Below are 22,354 nucleotides of genomic sequence, written 5' to 3' on the forward strand. Positions count from 1 at the left end.
GTCCTCGAGTAGGTAAGTAAAATAAAGTGTGGTACACCCAAATAATGGAATATTCAGCGCTCAAAAGAAATGAAATATCAAGCCATGAAAATACATGGGAGGAACCTTAAATGCATATTACCAAGTCAAAGAAGCGAATTTGAAATGGCTACATACTCTATGATTCCAACTACATGGCATGATAGAAAAGGCAAAACTATAAAGGGTGAAAAGATTAGTGGTTTCCAGGGGTTAGAAAGGAGAGAGGATAAATTGGCAGAGTACAGATTTTTGGGCACTGAAACTATTCTGTATCATACTAAAATGGCAGACATGTGAAATTACACATTTCTCGTATCAAAACCCATCAAATGTACAACACCAAGAGTGACCCTGGTATAAAATATTAACTTTGAGTGATTTATCAACGTAAGTTCATCAGTTGTAACAAATGTACTATTCTGGTACAGAATGTTAATAGGCTATACATATGTGGGGTCAGAGAATATATGGGAACTCTCTGTACTTTCTGCTCAATTTTGCTATGAACCTAAAACTGATCTAAAAAATAAAAGTATCTTAAAAAAGAAGTTGGAAGATGTGAATGTACTTAATGCCACTGAACTATATACACTTTCAAATGATTAAAATTGTAAATTTTAACTCGTGTGTATCTTACCACAATTAAAATTTTAAATGTCATAAAAGAGTTCTAGCAACATTAGGAACTAAGAAGGGATTCTATTCAGATGTCTGTTGCCTTCTATCTTTTCTCACTCTACCTACCTGACCTTTTGCCTCTCCTTTGAATTCATCTATTTTATAAACATGATCATTTAAGAATGTATTCCCTTTAAACCAATACTTTTTCTTTTTTTATAATATATTGTTACATAAAGCAAAACTTTTTCTAACTACTTCTTTCTGACATGGATCTTCTGTACCAGTGAAAGTGTGGTCCTTAAACCAGCATCAGCAGCATCAACATCACCTAGGAACTTGTAAGAACTGCATATTTTGGTATCACCCCTGAACTTCTGAATCAGAATCTGCTTTTTAACAAGATGCATGATAAAGTTTGAGTACAATGTTCTAGAAGCCTTAGTTCTCGTGCACCCTTCTAGCTCCCTTTATGTTCCTGGCAAGATGCATGAATTCCAGGAATAAAGGAAGCAAAGCACAAAAGTCAAATAGATAGGTACAGTTTTTGTAAAAGGACAAGGGGTAAAAATGCAGTAGGGCAAAGTTATATTTTAAAGATGTCAAGGATATAGATGGGAAAACAGAATCATTCATGAAAAAATCAGTGATACACCAAGCCAAAATACGATAAGCCATTTATTCTATATTATTTAGGGAATAAAGGAAATGGAAAAGCAGATGAATGCTTATGAAAAAGAAACAGTGTCTTGGATCAGGAAACCAGGGAGAAAAAAGACTAAGAAGAGAGTTTACCAATTGAAAAAAAAAATGCCCTACAATAATTCTCCTAATCTGAGTCCTCATTTTGACCAAAATATTTCTGAACTCTTTTACCCTGAAAAGATTTTAAATGTTTTAAAAATATCAGTGGTATTCCCCAAATTACATTTTCACACCAAAGTACAGTCTTTACCAAGACTATCCTGAAGACAATGAGAACAGTTAGCTTACTCATTTTATAGAGAGCAAGGCTCAAAAAATGACCAGGGACACCAGAAAGTCAACATGAAATGAAAGGTCTTTCAGTTTTAGTGTTACATTCATTAAAATAATAAACTAATATTGGTATTTTATACTCTAGCAATGGATGAGAATTTTTTATTTACTGTGTCCTCAAGCAAAAATATTGCTAGTTGTATTTAATCTGTAAAATTTAAAAGCAGAGTAGATAAAATAGCAGTTAAAGGTAGACAAAATAGCAGTTAGGAGTACAGAGTCTGACCACAGATCAGATGGGTTTGAATCTTGGCTCTGCCATTTACAAACTGTGCAAAGAATCTTAACTTCTCCGTCCCTCTGTGGCTAGTCCTGCCTTCTTTGGCTGGCTGTTTATGAGGATCAAATAAGATACAATGATTAGCATAAAGCCTGGCATATAACACACAAAACTCAAAAATGTTTATTTTTTTGTGTGAAAAAAATTTTAAAGTATTTCTTAAAGCAGAATCTTCCAAGGATAAAGGGCTATGCTATCTTAATATAACTGGAGTTGCAGTCATGAGTTTCAGTCAGTGATGGACCACATATATGTTGGTAGTCACATAAGGTTCTAAGGGAACTAAAAAAAATTCCTATCACCTAGTAACACTGTAGCCATCATGCAGTGTTAGCCATCATACACAATGTAGACATCATACATAATGCAAAGCATTACTCACATATTTGTGGTGATACTGGAAAAAAAAACCCTACTGTGCCGCCAGTTACATAAAAGTATAGTTACATAATACTTGATAATAATAAACTACTATATTACTGGTTTATGTATCTACTATCCTATACTTTTTATCATTATTTTACACTGTACTCCTTCTACTTATTTTTTTTTTCAAAGTTAGAAAGAGCCTCAGGCAGCTCTTTCAGGAGGTATTCCAGAAGGCATTGTTATCATAGGAGATGACAGCTCCATGCTTGTTACTGCCTCTGAAGACCTTCCAGTGGGACAAGATGTGGAGGTAGAAGACAGTGATATCAATTATTCTGACCCTGCGTAGGCCTAGGATAAGGTGTGTGTTTCTCAGTCTCCTTTGCTAGTGCATCCTTTTCTTTAACTTCTGTACCTCTAATTCTTTGAGGACTCCAGGACTTAGTCCTGGTACCTTTTCTCTTATTTTTATCTAAGCTCACTTCATTAGTAATCTCATTCATATTATGTTTTCTTAAGATGAGATACATCTATAACTTACATGTTTCACTATAACCCTCAAATAAGGTCAACCATAGATAATTCTACTAATATTCGGTGAGGCAGCTACAAATAAAAAACAAATTCAAATAGAAACAACATAATTAAAAATAAGTGACTTAATTTTCAATAAATCATCACCATCTTTCTGTAGTTTAAGTTCAATATGATTGGTATAGTCACTTAAAATTCAAAATAATAAAGCTAAATTGATGATAACCAAAACAAATATTTGTTTATTCTAGTCACTGATTACATTGGAAACATTTACATACCACACTGAGTATTTAATGAAAAACGTAAATCATGATTTTGTCTACGGTCCTAGTTCCCTAGCCTTAAAATTTAACAGTAGCATCTTATGTTAATATAGACTTTTTCCAAAAGCCCTTTTATAACAATTATCTCTTATACCTCAAAGAATATTTAATTAGAATAGTAAAATAAATACTATTTTCACCACACTTTCTGGTCCTAACATGACCTCTCACATAACAGTTAATAACGAGTGAATTTAATTAAAATTGTTGAGGAACTCATAAATCCATCCCTACTATATGAAATACATATTGAAATTCATGTTTAACTGATAAGAAGTCATTAATGTCATCTTTCTGTACTTAGTATAGCATTACCAAAAAATTTACATTTTATTTTTAATGCTAATGAATGAAATTAAGTTCTGTATGTACAAATCCTCTGAAAGACATGCTCTATTTCATTTCCTTCTGTGATAGTGAAAATGGTGATTTTTATGATGTTAACACTACTGTATATGAGGCATGCAGTTGTGCACTGCCTCTATCACAATGAAAAAGACTTGCTTTTGCAAGCAAGAAGAATACATTTTAAAATACAGGAATCAGCAGCAATACATAACCACCTTCATCCCTCCAAGATTCCCACTTCAAATGATGTGGCTTTACTACTTGCCAAGCCTAGAGCAACTGTTAGAAGTATATAGACAAGAGCAAGGCTTTTAAAACTGGACCCCATCTCTCTCGAGTACTCCACTGCCAGTACTTCCAGTCCTGAGGAGTAGCACCTTTCCTTCTACTACTAAGCACATCAAGTGTCTGTGCACAGACTTTTTTAATAGTTCTGCCTATGAGATCTCCATCTCCGAAGTGTCTCTTTCTGACATGAATATTCTACCCTATCCATTCATTGCCTCATTATTATAAAACAACTTTGTCCTTACCAAGTTCCTGCAATCCTGTCATTCTCCTCTACTTTCAAAACCATCAACACACTTTTGCTTTGCTTCCCTTCCTACTCACTAGCATCTCACATTCCTCTTCAGAGATCTGGCCAGACCACAAGGCCTTATCCCCTGTCCCAACAGAACAGTCATATTAAGAATGCAACACATTATATCCTTTGATCACAACTTCAGCATCCTCTTCTGTCTCTCCTTTTTCTTTCCACTAAATGTTAGGCATCAACAGTTTTGTTATACCTAGTTCTACACTTTCTCCTCTTCATAAATCCATCACTGCTAGATCTTTAACCATCAATTCTAAATTACTTACACAAACTTAAACAATCAACCCTAACAGTCCTGACAATATATACTCCTGTGCTATCAGTCTGCCAGACAGCTCCACAGGGACATCTCACTAACTCAAATTCAAAATATCCAAAATCAAATTCATTATCCATCATTCCCCACTCTCCCCAAAAAGGAAACTTATTCTTTGGGCTTCTCTATTTCTAGTAACAGCACCAAATCACTTAGGATTTGAGATCATCTTTAAATTAAAGCAAAGTACTGGATTCTCCATTAACCAGTTCAGTCAACTTTCAAATGTATGCAAATTGCTGGTAAAACAGTTGCATCTCATCAAAAGGACACAATACAGCCATTTTCATTCAACTCCTTTGATGGTACACAAATCTGATACACTGCACATGACTTGAACTCTGAAATCAGTCCCCAACACTCACCTCCAGTATTGCGACCTAACAAGTAAATCAAAATAATCCCATTTTTTCATTACATCTAGAGGAAGCTTAAGTCAGGGGTAAGCCCAAGGCAGTTAAATTTTAGTGACTATTGTAAAAAAATTCTGTAGTGGTCTATACTTAAAACTTAGTTTCCACCACAAATAATGAGAATCATACTTCTTCACAGGGTTGTTGTGAGGATTAAATCAAATACGTAAGATATTTAGTACAATGCCTAGCATATACAGGTGCTCAAAATGTTTCCAAAATTAAGAAACCAAACAGCAAATCCATGAAGCTCAGAGATCATCAACCACGATAAATACCAGAAAATCTACACCTAGGCATGTGATGTTCAAACTGCAGAAAACCAAAGACAAAGAAAAATTTTGAAAGACAGAGAGAAACCACTTTACCTATAGAGGGACAAGGATAAAAATTAGATTGGACTTCTCCTCGGTAATCATACAAAAAGAGAGGCAAACTAGGACAACCACTTACAAAACATTTTAAAGAGAAAGAAGTATAATTGATATGCTAAGAGAGGAGAGAAAAGGAAACCATACAAAGTGCTCAATTAAAGTCAGAGCAGAAAAAGAGAGGACATTTTTTGGGGGTGGAGGGGGTGAAACAGAGGTTCCTTCCATCACTCAGACCGGAGTATAGTGGTGCAATCTTGGCTCACTGCAAACTCCGCCTCCCAGGCTCAAGTGATCCTACTACCTCAGCCTCCCAAGTAGCTGGGACTACAGGTGCATGTGACCACACCTGGCTAATTTCTGTATTTTTTTGTAGAGACAAGGTTTCACTGTGTTGCCCAGGCTGGTGTCAAACTTCTGGGCTCAAGTGATTGGCCTGACTCAGCCTCCTAAAGTGTTGGGATTACAGGTGTGAGCCACCAGCCCAGCCAACTTTTTCTTTTTAATGAAACAAAGAACAAGTGCAATGAATAAAAAAAGTTGCAAATACAGTAGATTTTAATACAATTATGTCAATAATCACTTTAAATGTGAATGGTCTAAATATGCCAATTAAAAGATAAGAGACAGAGTAGATTAAAAAAAAAAGACCTAACTATATATTGTATACAAGAAACCCACTTTAAATGTAGAAATAGATTAAAAGTAAAGAAATGGAGAAAGATATACCATGCTAACACGAGTCAAAACAAATCTGAAGTAGCTGTATCAATTTGAGACAAAGTAGGTTTCTGAGCGAGGGAAATTAACAGGGATAAAGATAGGCATTGCATTACGATAAAGGGGCAAATTCTCCAAGACCTAATGATTCTTAATGTATATGCACCTAACAGAGCATCAAAATGTGAAGCAAAAACTGATAAAACTACAAGGGGAAACATGAACTCATGATCACAGCTAGAGATATCAACATCCTTCTATCGGTAATTAACTGACAGGCAAAAAATCAGTAACAATACAGTTGAACTAAATACCATCAATCAACTGGATCTAACTGATATTTATACAGTACTTCAACCAACAACAGCAGAATACATGTTATTCTCAAGCTCACATAAGTCATTCACTGAGACAGACTATATTCTGGGCCATAAAACACACCTGAAAAAATTTAAAAGAACAGAACTAATACAGTATATGCTCTCAGACCACAATGCAATTAAACCAGAAAGCAATCTCAGAAAGATAGATGGGAAAATCTCAAAACATTTGGAGATTAAACATCACACTTCTAAATAACACATGGTTCAAAGTCTCAAGAGAAATTTTTTAATACTTTGTATTAAGTGAAAATGAAAATTCAATTTATCAAAATGTGTGGGATACATCAAAAGCAGTGCTTGGAGGGAAATTTATGGCACCAAGTATATATACAGACGGTCCGCAGTTTATAACGGGGTTGTATCCCAATAAACCTATTTTAAGTTGAAAATATCATGAAGTCTGTATTAGAAAAGTAGAAGGATCTATAAAACCATAAAAACCCTAGAAGAAAACCTAGGCAATACCATTCAGGACACGGGCATGGGCAAGGACTTCATGACTAATACACCAAAAGCAATGGCAACAAAAGCCAAAATAAGACAAATGGGATCTAATTAAACTAAAGAGCTTCTGCACTGCAAAAGAAACTACCATCAGAGCGAACAGGCAACCTACAGAATGGGAGAAAATTTTTGCAATCTACCCTTCTGACAAAGGGCTAATATTCAGAATCTACAAAGAACTCAAACAAATTTACAAGAAAAAAACAAACAACTCCATCAAAAAGTGGCCAAAGGATATGAACAGACACTTCTCAAAAGAAGACGTCTATGCAGCCAACAGACACATGAAAAAATGCTCATCACCACTGGTCACTAAAGAAATGCAAATCAAAACCACAATGAGATATCATCTCACGCCAGTTAGAATGACAATCATTAAAAAGTCAGGAAACAACAGATGCTGGAGAGAATGTGGAGAAATAGGAACGCTTTTACACTGTTGGTGGGAGTGTAAATTAGTTCAACCATTGTGGAAGACAGTGTGGCGATTCCTCAAGGATCTAGAACTAGAATTACCATTTGACTCAGCAATCCCATTACTGGGTATATACCCAAAGGATTACAAATCATGCTACTATAAAGACAAATGCACACGTATGTTTATTGCGACACCATTCACAATAGCAAAGACTTGGAACCAACCCAAATGTCCATCAATGACAGACTGGATTAAGCAAATGTGGCACATATACACCATGGAATAATTAAGGCAGAAATCTATGAAATTGAAAACAGGAAATCAAGAGAAAAAAACAATGAAACTAAATGAAGATTCCTTGAAAATAACAAAATTGATAAATTTGTAGTTGTGTATTATGATGTACCACACAGGGCTTTTATTTTGGTTTAAAAAAAAATCAGTGCCACTATTCAAAATAGCAAAGATATGGAATCAACCTAAGTGTCCATCAATGGATAATTAAAGAAAATTTAAATGCAAACAATGAAATACTACTCAGCCATTAAAAAGAATGAAATAATCTCTTTTGCAGCAACATGGATGGAACCAGAGGCCATTATCCTAAGTGAACTAACTCAGAAACAGAAAGTCAAATACCATATTTTCTCATTTATAAGTGGGAGCTAAATAATTTGTATACATGGACATAAAGAGTGGAATAATAGATAATGGAGACTCTGAAGAGTGGAAGGATAGATGGTGGGTGAGGGGTGAGAAATTACTTAATGGGTACAATGTACACTATACTAAAAAGCCAGGCTTTGCCACTATGCAATATATCCATGTAACTAAACTGTACGTGTACCCTCTAAATCTATAAAAATAATTTTAAGAAGTGAGTGCTAGTCTTCATCCTCGACTAAAATATAAAATGCTTCACTGTTCCTCCCTTTTCGTTTAACCCTTTCACAATTCTCTGGCATAACCTGTAGCACATGCATGTTATAAAAATTTAGCAAATTTAACAAATTTAGCAAGATGTCCCTATTAAAACAACTAGAAAACAAACTTACTTTTGTAGCATAAGGTGAAAACATAACACACTTGACTTTTTTGGTAAAGGAATCAAACAAGTTATTCCATGCCCTGACACATAAGCTTTTCTTCTTTTCAAATAAGTTAGTCAATGTAACTTTATTGGAGTAGACCTGGCTAGGTTAGGAATAAAGAATGGCTACATGCTGGACTAACTACTATCAAGCACACCAAATTAAAAAAACAAAAAAACAAAAAAACTTTGCTGTCATCATCATCCAACAGATGTCATCACACCCAAAACCCACCTACTTAGAATTTCTTTAGGACCTTTAGTTTAAGAAATGGTACCTTTGCAGCATAAGGGAGTAGGAAAAAAATGGGACTTTGAAATCACACATATCTGTGCTCAAATTCCACCTCCATTTCTATTAGCCATGTGACCTTGAGCAAATTACTTGATCTATGAGAGGACTCAGTTTGCTGGTTGACAAGTACCACAAATACAATTCTAACAGTTTACGCAAAAAGGAGGACTTATGACAAAGGTAACTAGGATGTCTCTGGAACCCAATCTCAGGACCATGGACAAAGGAACTCAAATACAGTCAGGACTCTGTGCATCTGCTTCTTTGCACTCTTTGTTCTAGAAGCCCTGGCTTATCTAGCCCACAGGGCAAGAAACAAGGCCATTAACAGTTCCAGAGTTTTGTATCTCACAGCTTCAGCAACTGAAGAGAAAACAAATTATTCAACCTCTGGGCATGGAGGACCCAGGAAAAGTTCTGAGTGACTTGGCTTAGTAAAAAAGTGTCTAAAACCAGGCCAATAAACCACAGAAATGAACAGAATTGTGATTGGTATCTCTGGCCCCTTCCAAGCCAAAGTGATCTTTACAAAAGACAGATCTGATCCAGTAATTAACCCGATTAAAACTCTTCATGGCCTTCCCCAATAGACTTAAAATCCTTAACCTCGTTAAACCAAACCTCACGTAGGCCCTCTGCATAGTCTGGCTTCTGTTTACCTCTGCAACCTCATATCAAGTCACAATCCCTCTTACACTAAGCTTTAACTGTTTCACCTGTTCTTTGAATTCTCTTCCTTTTCCACCTAGCTAACTTCCACTAATCTTGCCTCTAAGAAGCCTCCCCTGACTCCCAGTGTAAATCCAGTTCCCTCTTCTTTTCCTTTACAGCATTCACCAAAATTTCTAAGTACAAATGTATTTGTTCAACACCTGTTTTTTACTATACTGTTAACTCCAAGAGAATAGAGACCTGTCCTTTTTAGCACCTACTTGGCCCTCAATAATTATGTGCTGATTATGAACTATGAATCACTGGTTTAACAAGGGGGACCCACTAAATGAACCAATTACAAATGAGGGGACAGTAGCAGGCAGGCAGAATTGTTATTATCAAGTTATTAAAATGACTGCTCCAACAGAAACTTATCAGTAAAAGGGGAGATAAAGCAGTTCTGAAACAATCTGGGCTTCCGCTAGGCAGAACAAACAACTTGTTCAATTCAGTTAACCTTTTTCTTCAATTAAATCCTTATAGGGCTATGATAGCAATTAAACAAGATAAATAATAAATGTGACAGCATCTATACAGAATCTTGTACATCTAGCAAGCAAGCAATGTCACTTCTTTTCCTTTTGGACCATGTTACACATTATTTTTGAATATCACTGATCTCCAAATAATTATTAAATACTCCAATGCATATGACAAAAATAGCTGTTTCATGACCTCTTCCCTCACAGCACCCTGATCTTTCCACATGGAACAGAATGACTTCTCTTTTATTCTGTAGTAATTGCATACACTCAAAATCCATTTAGCTTAAACCAAAAACAGGCACTGGGAACACAAAAATGAAGCAAAGCAAAACAAAACAACCAAACGCTTACAACAAAACTGTCCTCAAGGAGTTCACAGATTCACTTTCTCAATCTGCCTTCAGCTCCATCACATCCATACCAAAGCTCCATAGCACCCCAGGTAAGGCTGCTACAAATACAAGATGCCCCGTATTTTATGGGGCAATAATCCATCTTTATATCTTCATACTCCCACTTCATGACCTCATTCCAAAATTTTTTCCTTAAAAAAATTCTATGGAGACTGACTGGATATGATCTTTCTTCAAAGTATGAATAAAATCTACCCTGACTTTACCAATAGCTCAAAATAAGGAAACAAAGGAAACAATCCAAAAGAAAAATCCTGTTTCTTGACAGTGCTGGGAGTTTATTTTTAAAAATTAAAACAAACAAAAAACCCATCACAAAAATAACGCCTTTAAGAGACTAAAAAATCTTGCTTCTGAGAACAGGCACGTGTGAAAGGATCAAGACTACTTTCTTTTTCAGAGGTAGGTCCAGAAAGAAGAAATGTCCTCATAAGAGGGACGTAAGCGGTAACTTTAGGGAAAATGAACTCTCAGGAAAAAAAGGGGGTTACACCAAGCTTCGAAGTATCTTAGAATTTTATTTGTAGCTAAAACAGATCTCCGAAGTCATCTACTTCTACCTTTTCATTTTATAATCAAACATCTTGAGAAGTAAAGTCACGCAGAAGACTGCATTTCCTTCTAATTTTTGTCATGCCCTAACTTCTTGTCCCAGATAATGTAAGCCTATGCCACTCACTGAACTGAGAAACAGCCTCCTCTTCAAGTCCACTGGGTGAAAGAGAACAAGTTCCTAATAATGTTGTCATGTCTAACACAAGAGTTACAGATCCTAGCATTTCAGGGTACATCTGAAACTTATTTTTCCCATAGAAAGACTGTCATACAAATTATTATAGGTATTTTAATATACTTATGCTAATTATTAACATAATTTTATAATTTCTTTAGTATTAACATAATCCTATAATTCAGGTATTTTATTATTTAAATAGGCTTTAGTGGGCTGTCTGTGACTCTAACCACTAAGTATACTGTTTCTGAGAAAATAAGACTCAAGTTCCAAACCATTTTACAAGTTGTAAAATGTAATCAATTGTGTAGTAAGTTAGAACTACCAATTCACAAAGACTCAAAATTATAAGCTGAATGTGATAAACTTAAAACACAAGATTCTTAATTTTATAAAAAGTTCCACTTCAGGGGTCATTTATTTTTAACAACTAGGTACTCAAGCATTCAGCATAGGATTTAATTTACATATATCTTTTTTATTACTATTTCACTAGAAAACGTAAGTCACAAAGAATCAAACACACTTCTATCTAGTGTAGGAAAAACAAAAAATATGTTAACATACATCTTCATAAAGTGAGCTATAAGAAGAAAATTGTTAATATTTCATAAATCAAAGACTACTAACATATACATTATTAAGTATCTAGTGCCAGTTCAAAAGTGTACAGGTAATGGAATTATATCTGAGCAGGTAAATGGAGTTCAAAGAACCTTGAAATTCATTTTTCTCTTTTCTCCTGAGATAAAGTTATACATTTCATTAATTATAATGTTTGATAAATCTTTAAAAATGTTTCACTAAATATATTAATTCAATGGATATTCTTTACCCATTCATTTTATTTGTTCAACAAAGAAAATTGAGCCCCTGCTATTTGTTAAACACTATACTAACAACTTTGGATTTATGACAATAAGCTGCAGGTCAGTTTCTCTCCTCAAAGAACTAAGAAAAACCACGACTTTACTGCATTTACCCAAGTGACGGTGTCAGCTAAATTTTAATTCATTTAAGAAAACATTATAAAACAAATTCTCAAAAACGAAACCATACAATAGTAACTTTAAACACACTTTAATAGTCTTATCTATATGAAGTTTTCTCACAAAGTAACCAAAAGCACTGTTTTGGTAAAAGTGCTAATAACATAATCTTTTGATAGTAGTCCAATAAGGAAATCACAAGGTACTATGTACTGTGATAATGAAAATCCAACACTTGGAAAAGATATCTTAAGTTATTCCTAAAATAAAGCAAAATGTATAATTAAATATAGTCTTATACAATATTAAAACTGTCTCTGAATATATGAATATTTACAAACATGAGTAATAAAGTAACTCTATAGCATACCTTATAAATGATCACAACTATGTATTTTGGATTGTAACACCTGCAAATTTGTAACAAAAAGGGCCTTAATATTTTTCGAATATATTATTCTTCACTAACTTAATTCAATATTCTACTTATTATCAAGTCATAATTTTTGTTTACTATTAACTATTTTATCTATATGTTTAACTATATGTAGGTATTAACTGTAATAACCTTTATGTCTGCAATTATTTAAAACCCTTGATAGATGAGAAACATTTTTCAGTTCAGAGGCATACCTCTCCAAAGCAAAAATCAATGTTAATCAGCCATTCTAATATGCCATGGAAAATCCTGACATTTTTTCATTGTATTTTTCACAGAAATTTTTTAATCATTCATCAGCTAAAAGATTTAAATTTTCTTTAAAAGGACTACAAAAACACACCTTTCCTGAATTTATGCACACTACCTACTAAATATTATCTCCATTTACATATAAGGAAACCAAGGCACAAAGGTGTCCATTTTGTAAATTGCAAGGTCATTTCCTAACCAAGCAACTAATCCTACACCATCAACTTATATTATATGTACGCCACTTCCAAGTGCCATAAAACAATTACTATACCTTAAAACTGCCTCTGCAATGCTTATGTGATTCTCTTTTATCAAAAGGGTAAATGCAACAAGCTTAAACAAGGAAAGATGGAAAAGGAAAATTATAAAAATACAACACTTACTTTTTATAGTGAATCATTTATTTTTAAATAATGAGATGTAAACAGTTTTTAACATAAAAATCAAGTAACCAACAGTGGTTTCTTATATTTGCAAAAAAAAAAAAATTTCATCCTTCAGGTAGATCACGCAAAACTGAAGCCTACTCATACTTGTAGATTCAAGTTAGAAAAAAAAAAACTGGATTCTAAAACAAGTAATTAAATACATGATATTGCAAAGAAAAAAGTGAATAAAAAATAAAATCAGATAAATTAGGGAATGACTGATATGATGGTTAAAATCCTCATCTTAAATATTAAATCCTTCCATTCAATGGAAGGCAACGATTAGTAATGACATATTCTGCTACCGAAAAACAAATACAAAACTTTTCTTATTCAAAACTTCCGAAATTTTATATCAAATACTTCATTCAAATATTCAATATAAACAAAAATGTTTCCTAACAGAAACTTAGAGCATAAAGGATAAACTGTTCCTGAGAGTTCAAATTGAGACTGCATTTCTAATTATGATATAATGCTATGAACAATCAGAAAAATGAATGTTACCTACCATGCAAATTTAAATTTAAGAACATTAGACGGATTGAATAACCAATAAGTCAATTACATCAATTAGTGAACAGAAAAAAGACCTTAGCTAATCGTGAATCTAACACCAAAGAAAAAATTTAAGTCGAATCCACCGCACATCTTATTACATAGAAAAGGAAATGATTAGAGTAAGTCGTATTTAAGTACCTAGTCTAGCTGGGGATCAATTAATTAATCGGTTATAGGGCAGGACGTGAATGTTGAGATCGGATGTGCTTTCTTTCATCGTTATTCCAGTTCATCATCCGCAAGTGCAAGAGAAGGTGTCAGAGTACCGAAGCTAGGGGGCATGCTGTAGCAAGGGGAAAAGAAAAATGGGAAAGGTGCAATGGATGCTGCATAGTTGAATAATTATCTGGGTGGCACAATGGGCGAGTCCTGCCGACATGAGCGCTGAGTGAGCGGCTCCGTAACTCTGCCCAAGGCAGCCCCCATGAACAGGCACCAGAAGCGACAGCACCGCTTCGCCTCCCCTTCCAACGAAGAAAAGGATGCCCGCACTCGCTTTACCGTTATGTTTTCAGACACCGACTCGCGGAGCAAACACGCAAACGCACGAGCTCGCTTTACCGAGCCTCGCGCACGTAGGGCGAGCAGGGGATTCTCTGTCGCCCGGGGCTACCGCCTCCCCCGGAAAGAGGCACGGGGCGGACCGCGGGCGCGGGTGGGCAGGGAAGCCCGGGCGGTGGCACCTCAGGTGACACCCACAGTCTCTCCAGCGAGAGCAGCCCCGGGGCGGTCCCTGCAGCCAAGCCCCAGGCGCGCCCGCCGCCGTCTCCCTCGGCACCCAGCCCCGCTGGCGGGTGGGCGGTGGGCGCTCGGAAAACCCGCGGATGGGGGTGGGGGCCGGGGCGGGGAAGGCGCGCCCATCCATCCCCGTCACCTTTGCGGGCCACACACCACTCGGTCTGCTCCGGCCAGTAAGGAAGAGTTCCTCTCCCAACACCCCCTCCCCGAAAAAAGCAATTCCTCAGGGACTCGCGCTCACCGTGAAATCTTGGGGGCTCACGCCTTACCCCTTCTTCATGCTTCGGCAGCGGTCGCCGGTCCCCCTCGGCTCGCGGGACTCCGCCTAGAGCCCCCAGGAGGGTCGGGCTCTGGGGCGGAACCCGCTCAGGGCAGCGGCCCAGGCGCCAGGCCACAGGGAACGCCGCCTGGGGCGCCAACCCGCCGCCGGACCCACCGTGTGCTCGACGCGCGAGTGAACAACACCGCGAGCTGCCGTTCCCCCCGCCCCCTCCCCGCGCGAGACGCTCCACAACCGGGCGCAGGGACCCGCGCCAGAAGCAGGGGGGACCGCGAGACTCTTTCCGCCTATGGTCCCATCCTTGCCCCCCGCCCCAGGAGCTATTCCTGGCCAGTCAGAGGTCTCAAAACTTCAGATTCTCACTTTCCTCTTCAGCCTCCAGTGCCCAGGTGCAGCCGAGGTGGGAAATCCAGCCTCCGCCCACTCCCCCATTAGTGGGGCCGAAGCTCGCTCTTCCCCCCTTTCCTGAGGTTCTGTGGTATTGCCCAATCCTCAGTTTGGGGGAGGGGGACGAAGAGAACACTGCTTGGCTAGGGAATGAGGGAAGATGATAGCCAATTGAATGGAACATCCATTCGGGGGCGGGGTCAAAGGGGGACACGCCCCCGTTCCGCCCCCTCGTTGCAAACTACACTTCCCATTGTGCCCTCTCGCGCTTCCTGCCGCGCTGCACGCTGGGAGTGCAGGACCGCGAGGCCTCAAGGTATTTTGGAACTCATATTCTTTAGTCAACTAGGTCCTAAATGTTATAAACTATTATAATTCTCCCTTTTTCCCTAGATAAACTTTTTTAAGCTCTCAGCTCGACAGTAGTTATTCTAATAATAATTAGCTTATTGTTTCAAAATGTAAGACATTATTTCTTAGCAAAGAAAGTTAATGATGTGTTCCATTGCAATCTGTCAGGACCTGGGAGCCTCTTCTTCTTCCGCCCTGGCAGGGTCTCCGCAGAAGATTTGTTGCCGTCATGTCGGCTGCGATTGCAGCTCTGGCCGCTTCCTATGGTTCGGGTTCAGGGTCCGAATCGGACTCGGACAGTGAGAGCAGTCGGTGTCCGCTGCCAGCCGCCGACTCCCTCATGCACTTGACTAAATCGCCTTCATCAAAGCCGTCTCTAGCAGTGGCAGTGGACTCGGCTCCGGAGGTGGCAGTTAAGGTAAGCACTTTTGCTACTAATGCAGTGTGGGAATTGTTGGCTTCAGCTCCAGAACTGCCAGCCGCTTGTTAGGTACCGGGTTACCTCTTTCTCAGTGCTCAGAGATAAGTTGCTAACGTTTGAATTTCTTCTCCTTCCCACATGCATCCTCGGGAGAGGCAGAATTGGAAGTTCGGAATAGCCCTCCGATGCTCTCTGCCCTTGCCTCCCGCCATCAGAAAGCAAGTGGAAGGAGGGGATGAAATTTGAATTTGTGGATTAGGGACATAGCCTGGAAAGTGCAGGTGTAATCTCGGAACATAAGTGAAATTAGATCAGGACTTCCCAAACTAGAGTATTGTGTGAGCAGTGGCCTCGATTTGTCTTATTTTTGAAGAACTAGGTTCTAATCCTGGCACCACCACTTGTGTGAACTTGGACAAGTTATGCAGCCTCCTTTCTTTCCTCACCTGTACAGTGGAGATCATTTTCAAAACATCTGTCTACATGAAAAGATGAGTGTGAAAATTGAGTGAAATTACACAAATAAAGCATATAGCACAGAGCCAACTAGTGAGAGTGCAGTAAATGTTTTATGATTGTGTGTGTTAATACAGTGAGAAAAAGGCCTTGGATTTGAGAAACAGCTGCATGATCTCAATGGAGGAAGCTGATTAATAAGGCAAGAGTTTCCAGGCAGAGGTGACAGGCAAGCCTGAGAACGCAAAGAGCCTAGTGGGTTTGAAGAACTGAGGAAAAGCTGATGTGTCTGGAGCCTGATGAGAGCATCTACCAATTGGTAGTGTAGGCCCAGTAGAGCCCGAGGTAGGTGATCAGCTCAAGATGTGAAGAGGGGAGGCGGTGTCCAAAAATTCCTTTGTATCATGTCCCCAAGTCTAGTTTAATGACTTAAGAAGTGTTTTACAGGTTTTTAACAAGCTGTATGTGAATTTTACTTTTTAAAAATGGACATCTGTCATGAAAGAATGCTTAGAATCCTCCTAACTTCCTATCAAAACAAAACTTTCCAAACTTAAGCCCCTCCAGTAACCTCCTGAGTCTTCTCCTTTCACAGCTCAGCTTTTTGGAGCTCTCTTTTTGTCTTCGTCTCATTTTCTCCTCAACCCAATGCAGTCTGGCCCTATCCTCTTGGGAAACTACTGTCTGTGAGTGATGTCCCAGGCCTTCCAGTTGTCAAGTTCAGCCATCTGACTTAAATGTCTGCATCAAATGACACTGTTCATTAGTTCCTCTTTCTTGAAACTTTCTCTCCGTTTCGCTTCCATGGGGCTCTACTCAGCATTCTGTTCCAATTATTTTACTCTCCCTTTTCAATACTGGTGTTTCCCAGGACTCTGCTCTTAGTCCTCTTTGCATTCCACATATTCTCCCATACCTTCAACCTCAGGCTGTGCTGCTTCTAGCTCAAGGTGAACACCGTGAAATGGTTAGCACAGGCTCTGGAATTAAGACTGTAATTCAAATCCTGCCTCCAGCACTTACCCACCTGGGGACCTTGGATAAGTTACTTAAATGCTCTGTACCTAATTTTTGCTGATCTGTAAAGTAGGAATAACAGTAGTACCTATCTAACAGAATTATAATAATTGTCATAAAAGATGTAAAGCCCTTTTAACAGTGCCACACACAATGAACACTAATTAAATGCTTGCTATCCTTTTATTTCCAGTTCTATCCTCCTTGCTAGCTTACGATCTTGAGAGGTATATAAAAATCTCCCACAGTAATTGTACATTTGTCTTTTGCAGGTTGGCGCTCAGCCACCTCCAATTCAGTGTGTCGAAAAATTATTTTCTTTCCCTCAAAATCCACTTCTGTTTTTCCTATTTTGATCTGTCATCCCACAATCCACCCACTAGTTGAAGCCGAGAACAAAGAAGGTATCCTTTTCTCTTCCTTCTTCCTCAGCCCCTGAAGCTAGTCATTCAATTGATTCTAACATTGCTGTTTCATTAATTTCTCTCACATCAACTCCTTCCTTGCTATTTTCACTGGTGCAGGCTTCATATCTTCCTTATTTCTCCCAGGAGTTATTCTTTTCTTTCTCTTTCAGCCTTTTTGGGTAGTGGGTTCTGTCCACTTTAACTCAATGATATTCATCAAATCTCTCTCTTCTGCTGCCACTGTTTAGTTCAGATTCTCATCATTTCTCTTCAGACAGTTGTAGCCTTCTAACTGATCTTTCTACTTCTTCCTTTCTTGTCTCCCAGTTTTATACCCCATTCTTTTCTCCACAGTGCACTTAGAATGATCTTTGTAAATTCCACTTACATCGTATCACTTCCCTGCCCAAAGACACCATGTTGTCCAATGGGTGATTTCTAAGTTTTTTTGGTAGCATGTGAGTCCTGCTATTCTCCCATGCTGAACTCTTTACAAAGCCCTGAAAGCCGAATTTTCTTTCTTCCTCTGAAGATTTTGCCCACGCTAGTCTTTCTGCCTGGAAATCCCTTGCCTAGTGCCTCCTTCCCCCACTCCAAACACTGTGGTCCTTCAGTCTCAGTGTATATGTTTCCTCCTATTTTACCTTAGCCCCTTTATCATATCTTAACTATAGCACTTAGCACATTGCTGTAACTTGTTCATCTTTTTCTTTCCTCTGGACTGTGAGACCCTGGGGTCCAGAGACTGTTGTATCCATTCGTTTGTGTCTCCAGTGCCTAGTACACAAGATTAGGGAAGTATATTTGGTAAGAGAATGGAATGAAAAAGAAAGTCTTGTAAAAGTATGCACATTAAGAATCAGAATTTTAGAGCTGGACATGCAGTGGCAGGGATGGGGGTGTTTGTCTAGAGCTCACTTAGTGCAATCACGAATAAATAAGGGAACCCAGGAGGAAAGGCTGCGTAAGGTACCAGAAGTCCATTAGAGGTAGAGCTGGGGCTAGTCCACCCAGTGGTCTGGGTTCTATGAGAGCGTAGAGGGCATTGCTCATTGTTGGTTTATGAACCAACACTTGTTTATATGAAGGGAAAACAAACTTACACATAGTAAATATAATGATTGCAAATGATTGGAAAATTGGAAAATGACCAAGGGAGATGTGAAGCATGCAAATATATTCATCTGTAGTTGACTAATTGTATTATGATTAATAGCAAGCATTTTGGCAGAGAATACATTTTTGCAGCGTTTTTAATCTATGTTTTTTCCGAGCTGTTTCCTGCAGTTGAGTATCTTTTAATATGTTATTGGTGATTTAATTTTTTTTTCTTTGGAAGCAACTATTGGGTTGTCATTTCCTTTTGATTTTTAGAAGACCTTTACATATTCTGGATACTATCCTTTGTCAATTGTGTGTGTTGCAAATTTTTTTTCTTTTGTGACTTGTCTTCTCACTTTTCCCTGTTGTTTACAAACAATTATTTATGTAGTCTGTGCTTGTCAAATTATTCCTTTATGTATCGGGTTCCTGTTGCTTGTTTGAGAAATCCTTAACTCATAGTCATGAAAATATTCTCTTGTATTATCTCTTGAAAGCTTTTCACATTTAAGTCATTAATCCATATGAAATTAACTTTTGTCTATAGTGCGAACATTCTTAATAATATGGCTTGATAGGTGATAGGGCAGTTCCCTTGCCCTTTTTTGTTGGCTCTTCTTGGCCCTGTAATTCTATATACAGTTTAGAATTAAGTTGGAAAGTTCTGCTAATACCCAGTTGGGATTTTGTTTGGGAGTACATTGAGTCATAGGTCAACTTGGAGATAATGTTATGTCCGTTCATTTGTTTAGGCCTTTTTTTAGTTTTGTTTTTTTTTTTCTCCCAAAGTTTGTAATTGTCTCTGTATCAAAATCTTGTACAGTTTTATTGGAGGTATTTCTCGGTGGATCTTATTTTTATGCTGTTAATAAACAGTATTGTATTTTTCATTTATTTAACTTTCTAACTTAACTACTATGTAAGTACTTTCTACTACTTACATAGCCATATCAGCTGCAAATATGACAGTATTTTTTCTTTCTTTTAATCATTATTTCTTTTATTTATTGTTCTTGCCTTGCCATGCTTACTACCGCCTCCAGGAAGATCTAAAATAAAAATAAAAAGGATGTACCAGGCAAATTTTAACCAAGAAAAAGCTAGCACTGTTTGTGTTAACATCAATAAAAATAGACTTTAAAGCAGAAAGCATTACTGGAGACAAAAGAGTCACTTCATCATGATAGAAGGTTCAGTTCACAAAGAGATATAAAACAATGTAAGCTCAAAATATTTCAGCAAAAATTGACAGAACTACAAAGAGAAATGGACAAATATACAATTACAGTGAGAGATTTTTATATCTCTCAATAATTGATAGAACAAGTAAAAACATATCAGTAATGATACAGAATATGTGAACAACAAAATTAGTAAACTGCATCTAAAGGTCTTAGGGAATATGGCACTTAGCAACACAGAATGTTGTTTTCAGGCACTGGAAACATTTTGAAACATTGAAACGTAATGAAACATTTTTTAAATGACCGTGTGCTAGACCAGGGATTGGCAAACTTCAGTAAAGGGCCAGACAGTAAATATTTCAGGCTGTGCTGGCCCCATGTAGTTTCTGTCACTTCTTTCTTTCTCTCTTTCACCCTTTCTTTTTCTTCATCTTTTTTTCTTTTTTTTTTTTTTTTTTGGAGACGGAGTCTCGCTCTGTCGCCCAGGCTGGAGTGCAGTGGCGGGATCTCGGCTCACTGCAAGCTCCGCCTCCCGGGTTCACGCCATTCTCCTGCCTCAGCCTCCCAAGTAGCTGGGACTACAGGCGCCCGCCACTACGCCCGGCTAATTTTTTGTATTTTTAGTAGAGACGGGGTTTCACCGTTTTAGCCGGGATGGTCTCGATCTCCTGACCTCGTGATCCGCCCGCCTCGGCCTCCCAAAGTGCTGGATCTTTTTTTCTTAACCCTTTAAAGATACAAATACCATCCTTAGCTTGTTGGTACAAAAAAGCAGACCGTGGCCTGGATTTGGCCCACACACTGTAGTTAGCCACCCCTGAACTGGAACATAAAATTAGTCTCAACAGATTTAAAATCTTGTTACTGTATTCTCTGACCACAGTGCACCTAAGCTAGAAACTAACCACAAAAAGATAGCTATAAAATTTCCGTATTTGAAAATTGTGAAATTGCACTTCTAAGCAACTATACATCAGAACATGTGAGGTGCAGCCATGGCAATTTTTTTAAAAGTATAGTCATAAACACATATCACAGAAAAAAAGAAAGGCAGAAAGTTAGTATGCTAGGCATCCATTCTTTTGGATTTTTAAAATCATTACATTATCTCCCTGTGCTTGTTTTAAGTCATGCAGTCAGTTTCTATTCTTTAAGTGGTTACCCCTAGAAAGCACAGCACATTCGATCAGTACTTTCACCTTCTACTGAGCAATGCGAGAACCTTAGAACCCTTGAATTTTATTCACATCCCCTGTACTCCTACTTTAGCTGTTGTTGTCTGGTATAATACATGCACTTACATATACACACACATCCTCCACAAGATGATGGTGAATGATGATGATTCTTACATCTCATATGCAAGATACCACTTTCTGTCTTTAGAATGTCCTTTAGTGAGGATTGACTGGTGGCAAATGCTTTCAGTTTTAGTTTGTCTTTTAAAAAGTTTTGGCTGGGCGAGGTGGGCAGATCCCCTGAGCCCAGGAGTTCCAGAGCAACATGGAGAGACCCTGTCTCTAGAAAAAATACAAAAATTAGCTGGGTGTGTTGGTGTGTGCTTCCCAGCTACTTGGGAGGCTAAGGTAGGGGGATCGCTGGAGCCAAAGAGGCAGAGGTTGCAGTGAGCCAGAATCACGCCACTGCACTCCAGCCTGGGAGACAGAGTAAGACCCTGTCTCATAAATAAATAAATAAATAAATAAATACATAAAATGCTTTCATTTAACTGTATTTCTCGAAGGATATTTTCACTGGGTTGTTTCCTTAGCTGGCAGTTTTCTCTCAGCACTTTTAAGATATTCTACTGTCTTCTGATTTTCATTGTTACTGATAAATCAGCTGTTGGTGTAGCTGTTTCCCTTTGAAAGTGATTTTCTTTTTTCTTTTGACACCTTTTAAGACCCGCACCCCATTTTTTTGAGATATGGTTTCATTCTTTAGTTTTATTATAGGATACACATGTGTAGATTTCTTTTTATTTTTTCTGTTCAGAATTTGTTGGATTTCTTTAATTGTGGATCAATTGGTTTGGAATGTGGACCTTTGGACATTTCTTAGCAGTTGTCAGTTCTTATCACTTCACATATTATTTTAGTCCCATTCTCCTCTTCTGGAACGCCAATTACACATATTTGTGTTCTCCAGTATATGTATGACAATGAGTATTTTCTGGATAAAATTTTTTTTTTTCTTTGAGACGGAGTCTCGCTGTCTCCCAGGCTGGAGTTGAGTGGCGCAATCTCCGCTCACTGCAAGCTCTGCCTCCTGGGCTTACACCATTTTCCTGCCTCAGCCTCCCTAGTAGCTGGGACTACAGGCACCCGCCACCACGCCTGGCTAATTTTTTGTA

General features: G+C 38.0%; 2 protein-coding genes across 5 annotated transcripts in view, besides 2 other annotated features; one reads left to right on the plus strand and one right to left on the minus strand.

Moving 5' to 3' along the window:
- WASF1 (WASP family member 1) overlaps positions 1-14,870 on the minus strand; it is a 79,852-nt gene extending 64,982 nt beyond the window's left edge. For 2 of the 4 annotated variants that reach the window (NM_001024934.2, NM_003931.3), the window contains exons 1-2: positions 14,639-14,870; positions 13,798-13,942 (exon numbers count right to left, since the gene is read on the minus strand). The gene's annotated coding sequence lies outside the window, so the exon portion shown is untranslated. The remainder of the gene's footprint in view (positions 1-13,797; positions 13,943-14,638) is intronic. The other 2 variants (NM_001024936.2, NM_001024935.2) reach the window with 1 other exon arrangement.
- Positions 14,230-14,549: a silencer, noted in NCBI's record as "silent region_17465". NCBI's record gives its function as "represses an Ori minimal core promoter by ATAC-STARR-seq in GM12878 lymphoblastoid cells {active_cell/tissue: GM12878}" and the evidence as "EXISTENCE:reporter gene assay evidence [ECO:0000049][PMID:35858748]".
- Positions 14,790-14,899: a silencer, noted in NCBI's record as "silent region_17466". NCBI's record gives its function as "represses an Ori minimal core promoter by ATAC-STARR-seq in GM12878 lymphoblastoid cells {active_cell/tissue: GM12878}" and the evidence as "EXISTENCE:reporter gene assay evidence [ECO:0000049][PMID:35858748]".
- Positions 15,627-22,354, plus strand: part of CDC40 (cell division cycle 40) — a 51,806-nt gene continuing 45,078 nt past the window's right edge. Inside the window, exon 1 of the mRNA NM_015891.3 lies at positions 15,627-15,833. Within this exon, the coding sequence (NP_056975.1) occupies positions 15,645-15,833 (189 nt within the window). The 5' untranslated portion in view covers positions 15,627-15,644. The remainder of the gene's footprint in view (positions 15,834-22,354) is intronic.

The sequence above is a fragment of the Homo sapiens genome, chromosome 6 (genome assembly GCF_000001405.40).
Source record: "Homo sapiens chromosome 6, GRCh38.p14 Primary Assembly".
Taxonomy (NCBI): Eukaryota; Metazoa; Chordata; class Mammalia; order Primates; family Hominidae; genus Homo; species Homo sapiens.